At 34.9% G+C, this 7,448-nt stretch overlaps 1 protein-coding gene and 1 long non-coding RNA gene across 12 annotated transcripts in view; one reads left to right on the top strand and one right to left on the bottom strand.

Moving 5' to 3' along the window:
• The window catches only part of NDST3 (N-deacetylase and N-sulfotransferase 3), a 225,313-nt gene that overhangs the window by 192,424 nt on the left and 25,441 nt on the right, over positions 1 to 7,448 (bottom strand). The gene's annotated exons all lie outside the window — the stretch shown is intronic.
• Positions 1 to 7,448, top strand: part of LOC107986307 (uncharacterized) — a 149,690-nt gene that overhangs the window by 138,216 nt on the left and 4,026 nt on the right. The window lies entirely within an intron of this gene.

Genomic DNA, 7,448 nt, shown 5'->3' with positions numbered 1-7,448 from the left:
ATATATAAAATATAATATATAAGATATATAATATATAAAATATAATATATAATATATATAATATATAAAATATATTATATAATATATATAATATATAAAATATATTATATAATATATATAATATATAATATGTTATATATAAAATATATATTTTAATCCAAAAGAATAGTGAAGAACTTATTATTATTATTTTTGAGGATAGATCTTTGTTCAGTGCCTCAACAAGTTGGTCTAATTTCTACACGCAATATTTTTCTTTCCCAGAAATCTGATTCTACTCAGTTTATATAGTCAGAGAAGAAAATAGAGACAAGAAGTTACATAAAATAAAGATCTATGTATGAAGGGGGGAAAAAGGTACATTACTGCACCAGGCACCAGGATATCAAAGCAGGGGAGATAAAGACAGAAGGGATGAACAGATAAAACACCATTGTTGTTTTTAGGTTGGGGTAGTTAGAATAGAAATTCCAAAGGGGGAAAGGCCAATACAATAAGGGCACTGAAACTGAGGTGGATGCAGAAACATAAATCAAAGAGAACAAAATAGAAAAATAAAAGTATAATGAAATGGTAACAATGAAAATGGTAAACTGTGCTTAGGTGACTATGTGGTAGTCCTAATCAACTGGCTTTCAAAACAGTCTCTAGTCTCATAATTGATGCACTTCTAGAAACATGATATTAGAAACTCCTAAAGTAATGAATTGATGATAGTCACACATCTGCTCCAACCAAGCAATCTTTGGTGAGGTACATTTCTTAAGACATCTAAGTGAAGGAAGAGTTACTTGCTCCCCCATGTTTAACCTCCTGTGTGTAAGGGATATGAAGCGTTTAACAGCACAATAATTTAATTTTCCCTAGTTAACTACTGTTGACTCAGAGATCTAGAGTAATTGTTTGAGCATGTATATGCCATCAAGATTTCATTTCCCAGTGAGGAAAACAGTAGTAGAGTAGCAGAGTTTCTTGCGGGAGTTGAGTCGTTGTAAGAATTGTAGCATGATTACCTGAAGAGCATAGCTTGTGGTACACAGAATAATATCTCCTTTACCTCCCCCGCCAAGAAATCCATGTCCTAATCCCTGGAACCTGTGAATGTGAACATTACATGGCAAAAGAGATTTTGCAGATGTGATTAAGTTAAGGACTTTGATATGGGGAGATTATTCTGGATTATCCAGGTGGGCCATACGGATCCTTAAAAGCAGAGAACCTTTTCCAGTTTGAGAGAGATGTGGCCATGAAATAAGGCACAGAGAGTATTTCTGGCTTTAATGATGAAGGAAGGGAATATGAGCCAAGGAATGTGTGCGGAATCTAGAAGATGGAAAAAGCAAGGTGATGGGTTCTCCCCTAGAGCCTCCAGAAAGGAACACAGCCCTGTGGACATCTTGAACTTAGCTCAGTAAGACCCATGTTGGATGTCTGACCTTCAGAAATGCAAAATGACAGATTTGGGTTGTTTTAAGACACTAAGTTGGTGGTAATTTGCTTTGGCATTAATAGAAAACCATACATAGCTGTTTTAGTAATTGGTGTAACTAATAACTATTAATAATCCTGTATAATCATTATAACTATTAATATTAAAATGAGAAAGCATATAATCTTTTAAGGTAAAATTCTAATATGTATTTTATAGGTAAATTTTAATTTTAATTTTAAAAATTTCAGTTTATCTAGAAGTTTAATAAGTTGGCTATATTTCTTTGGTTATAAACAGTTTATAAATGATGTCAAGTAGATCTCATCATTTATTTTATATTAACATCATGATTTTAAGATCCATTTTGTACTTCAGTCTCCAGTTTCATTATTCATGGAAGCCTATAAAAGTTAAGAATAAAAAAGTGCTTTAGCTACTAATTCATGTTTCCCAGAGACTAAGTGACAATATGTCAGAATTTCCTTGACTTTTTCTATTTTGTTTGTGTGCTTTAAAAAAATGTTAGGAATGCCTTCATAAAGCACTTTACAACATCACACAGACTTTAAAATCTGAGTACATACAGATAGAAAAAGTGAGATTATCAGAATTATGGGCAATTTTGGTTCTTTAATTGATTGAGCGCCAGAAGGGCCTGTCACTATGCTGTCACTATGCCACTCTAATTCATCCAAAATTTATTTCAGCCCAAGACATTTCAAGAAGTGACTAATACTAATTTTTGTTCCAGACTTATCGGTAAATCTAGGGCAAAGCTTTAGATACAACCCATCAAACTATAACAGAATCTGATAGGATGTAATTTACCATAAGGTGGAGCTTGGTAGGAAGAAATTTTTATGGACACCACCTAACACCAGTTGTGTTAAGCTCATAACTGTGAAGCACATGAGGTGGAAAAGCTCAGATTTTGGAGCCAGGTAGATCTGCATTTTGTATTCTAGGAATGCCACTTACTAGTTGTAAGATCTTGGGCAAGTTAGTCATAATCTATCAGCCTCAGTTTCTTTATGTAAAATGATGCTGCTTATAATCTTTGTTTTATAGGATTTCTACGATAATTAAATGATGAAGCAAAGCACTTAAAACAACGTACATACTCAGTAAGTGTTACCTATTTTGGGAGTAACTTACTGCAGTCTGTACAGGTTTAAATCACCAGCATAGAGATACAAAAAAGATTTTTTACATGCTGATTTATTTTCTAGAAACATGGAATGTTAGAAGAAATAAATTCTCTTAACCAAGAGAAGGACATAATCCAGTAACTGGCAAATCGTACAATTTTCTCCAAGGTTTTTGATTTCCTTTATCAAAAATGTGTTTCATTATTCATCAGCATATCCTTTGAAATCTTATGACATTATTTTAACAAAGTAAATGTGCATAATTTTCTTAATATCTCTAGAACCTAAATCTCTGTTCTGAATTTGCCTCTTGTATTCTTCTGCTACTACAGTGTGTAGAACTCATCATTGTCTGGTTGAGCTTTGGTACCATTTATGACAGCCCTCCTGTATCATGCGTGGGTTGGATTCATTGCATCAGACCTTTTTTTTTTTTTTTTTAAACGGAGTTTCACTCTTGTTGCCGGGGCTGGAGTGCAATGGTGAGATCTCGGCTCACTGCAACCTCCACCTCCCGGGTTCAAGCTATTTTCCTGCCTCAGCCTCCGGAGTAGCTGGGACTACAGGAGTGTGCCACCACTCCTGGCTAATTTTGTATTTTTAGTAGAGATGGGGTTTCTCCATGTTGGTCAAGCTGGTCTTGAACTCCTGACCTCAGGTCATCTGACCACCTCGGCCTCCCAAAGTGCTGGGATTACAGGCATGAGCCACTGTGCCCAGACTGTATCAGACCTTTAAAAAATGTAATCAGTCACCAAGTATCCTGTTTACATATTCATGTGTTCAGTAACAGCATTTTGCTTTCTTTAAATAATTTATAACTCATTCTTTTAGAACGTCATTGCATAACAAATCACTCCTTAATAGTAGAGAAACATTCCATTTCACAATGTAACAACAAATTTAATACAATATATTAAAAGTAAATAGATTATGAATATGAAATGTTTTTTCCCTTTGCTAATCTATTTTATGATTTCGCCATGTTAAATTATAAAATTATTTCCTTAAAATAACTGTACAGTTGTATAGTTGCTAGCACACTATGGCTATTTGAATGTGATAATAATATTGACAGTAATTTATTTTCCTGTGTATTTTTAATATGATCACGTTATATCAAATGTAGAAATAAGTAAGTATTCCACCAAACAAAGAGAGAGAGTGAGGGAGAGGGAGGGAGAGAAGAATGGTCTCAAATTGCCTAATATTGTGACAATCATAAAACTATTAGGGACCAGTGGAACTGGACATTCTATTACCAAAAATGTTTAGGTGACTTCCAGGGAGGACCAATCTTCCCAGTGTGAGCAGCAATGGATATATATGAGGGAACTTAATTAGGCATTGTGAAGTCAACCAAACTATCTTTTAAGGATGAGGGAAAATAAAGACATTTACAATGCATAAAATCTGAGAAGGTTTACCATGAATAGATTCTCATTGAAGGAAGTCTTTAAAATAAAGTTTGGACTAAAGCCACCTCCTTACATAATTTCAGTTCAGCCTAAAGGTTTTTCTGTACATTGTGAGCTATAACAAGTGGAGGTGTAAACAGACCGTAGTCTACACTTGTGCCAATCACTGTGTTTTGGCCAGTCAGTTGTGTTCAAATTATATTCAAATAAGGCAAACACTAACCTGTAACCAATCCAGCTGTTTCTGTCCTCACTTCTGTTTTCTGTATGTCACTTTCCTTTTTCTGTTCATAAATCTTCTTCCACCATGTGGCTGCGCTGGAGTCTCTGAACCTACTCTGGCTCGGGAGGCTGCCTGATTCATGAATTGTTCATTGCTCAATTAAACTCCTTTAAATTTAATTCAGCTGATGTTTTTCTTTTATCATGTCTAAAGGATATACTTCAGAAAGAATGCAATTCATTCATCCAACAAATATATACTGAGCCAGGCACATTTCTCTGTGCTGGAGATACATCCGTGAACAAAATAGATGAAAAAAATCTTGCCCTAATAAAGCTTACATTTTAATAGTCCAAATAACAAAGTAGTGGCAAAAACCACAATTATTTTTGCACCAACCTAATAAATTAGTAAAATACATGGTATGTCTGGTAGCATGCTGTGAAGCCTTTAACAACTGGGTCTGTGTGAATAAAAAGCCCAGATTTGTCACATTTGTCTATTTTACAGTGTAAATATTCCTTCCATAAAGCTAGAAGGAGATGCACAAAATTGACCTTGTAAGCCAATGTGAGCCAGTTTTAGCACATCATTGGTGATCATAAGTGCCAGAACAAAACACTCTCAGGGAAAGATGGGAGATTTAGAGGTTGCAACTTTAAAGAGAATGGTCAGAGAAGACTTCACTGAGAAAGTAACATTTGAGTAAAGATCTAAAGGAAGCAAAGAAGAGAGCCATGCACCAATCTGGGGGAAGGACACTTTAGGGAGAAAGAACAGCAAGTGCAAAATTCTGAAACAGGAGCAAGGAACAGCAAAGATACTAGAGAGGCTGCAGTAGCGTGAGGGAAAAGGAGCTGGGCGTGTAGCAGAGATAAAGACACTGGAAGTTGCTGGAGGGTTTTGAGCAGAGGGGGGTCATGATCAAAATTACGTGTCAATGGCATGACTGTCTGCTCTTTACAGAAAGGGGTAAGGTGTAGAAGCTGAGAATCACATCGGATGAGAAAAGGTGAACAGTTGGCAAAGGAAACAGTAGAAATCTGGCAAATCTAATAAAACTTTGATGGTAGTAAAAACAACAGTGCCTAATATCCGGTGTTAAACAGCAACATTAACATCTAGAACCAGAATAACCCAACCGCCAAAGGAGAGAGAGCATTATTGGAGATAAAGAACTTTGTACCTTTTGACTGAGGTATGAAGATATTGGCACTTGTTTAGTGCATGTGTTTAAATTTTTGGAGAAACTACTAAAAAAAAAGAGATAAAATACATTCATTTAAACCAGGAATGGATAGAAAAAAGAAAGAAACTGACAATTCAAATGAAGGTAAAAAGGAAGAGAGAGAAAGAAGAGAAGAAATATAACAAGTGGGGCAAATATAAAGCACAAAATAAAGTAGCTGAAATAAATCCATATACATTGATAATCCAATTAACTATATGTAGATTGATCTTGTTAATTAAAAGACAAATATTGACAGAGTAGACCAAAAGCAAAGTTCACCTAGGAGCTGTTTTCAAAGCTAATTTACAGTGCAAAGACAGGAGAGAGATTAAAAATATATAAAAAAGGAGTAAGATATATTTCTCAAATAGTAATCAAAAGAAAGCTGGTATAGCTGTATTAGCATTAAGCAAAACAAAGGCAAAACAACATTAATAAAGTTAAAAAGATAACATAGAATGAAAAAACATATTAAAATACAATTTCAAAATATGTGCACTTAACATAGCTTCAAAATATAGAAGGCAATAATTTTCAGAACAAGGAAATATTTACAATCAACCATCAGAGTTGGAAAATTAAACATAACTCTTTTGGTAGCATCAGGGATACCATTCCATTCCCTCACCCCCCAAAAAAGAATACAGTAAGAAGACAGATTTGAAAAATGTAGTTAACAAGGTTGTGTTGGTATACCTTGATTAGATAATATATGTTCCTATCAAGTACATGAGGCATACTGTATCCAGTTATAAAGTAAATCTAGCAAATTTGAAGTAATGGGATCAAGCAGATACATGCTTCTATAGCATAATAAAATTAAATGAATATCAGTAAATAAGAGATAAGAAACATCAGATATAATGGAAAGGAACTCAAGAAATATGAGTTTAGGAGAAAAATGACAAAACATTAATACTATGTACAATGTACAGATCTTGACATTCATACAGAGCACATGAATAGTGAACTGTCTGGAGAAATTTTTGCTACCCTTTTATGTGTACTTATGACAGAATAATTGATTGCAGTTGTGTTTTCCTCCTCCTCCCAATATTTGGTATGTTGTTATTTTTTAGTGATTTTATGAAGCCTCTGGCTTCCCTTAGCTGGGGTGGTGAATATTCGTGGTGAAGTCAAGCAGCACAGAGCGCACCTTTACATTCCAATTAGAGCTTCCCACAGTCAGCCCCAAGCAAGACTGAAAAGTCAGCTGAGTTTATCTTCTGAGCTTGATACCTCTTATTTTTCACAGTTTTCTAGCTTCCCACTTCTATTTTCAGCACTTTCTTTTCTCTAGGTACTCTGGGATCTTCCATTAGAGAGGAAAATAATGATATAGCCACTCATGACATTGTATTAAAAATTTAAGAACTTCCCTTTCTTCTGGGGCCACTTTAAAAATGTAGATTTTTTAAGGGCTAATCCACAAATAGACAAGTTATGGTATATTGAAATGTAAGAAAATAGTGAGAAAGGTCTGGGGTAGTTAAAAAAGGAAAGTGGCTGTTGAGTACCTCCAGAAAGAAGTACAAGATGCTCCAGGAGGAGCCACAGTTACCTCTTCAGTAAGCTCAGATGTGACTGGGCGGGTTCTTCATTTTCCGAAGAATGTTAGGAATTTTCTCAAAGTTTGAAAGGAATGTGTACCTATTACAGAAATCAAAGAGAGAGAGGAAGGGAGAGATGCAGGAGGGAGTGATATGTAACCTCTTTTATGCATTGAGAGTATTCAACTGCAAGGAGTTCAGTAAAACCCTGAAAGACCACCTTCTCCAGAATCTTCTCATTTGACTTCTCAGATGTCTTGGGAGATAAATGTTATATGAAATGGTAGGTCTAAAGGTATAATGGATCTTACAACAAGAGTGAGTTAATGCGCCTAAAAGATCACATGGGTTATTAGTGTTCACTGGGTCATGAAGTGCTTTCATGTAAAACAAATGCTTTAATGGTAGAAGCTTTTTTTAATTGTAGAAACATCACTTTCTCTCTC

This window comes from Homo sapiens, chromosome 4 (assembly GCF_000001405.40).
Source record: "Homo sapiens chromosome 4, GRCh38.p14 Primary Assembly".
In the NCBI taxonomy this organism is placed as follows: Eukaryota; Metazoa; Chordata; class Mammalia; order Primates; family Hominidae; genus Homo; species Homo sapiens.
This window is presented reverse-complemented; position numbering and strand designations above follow the sequence as displayed.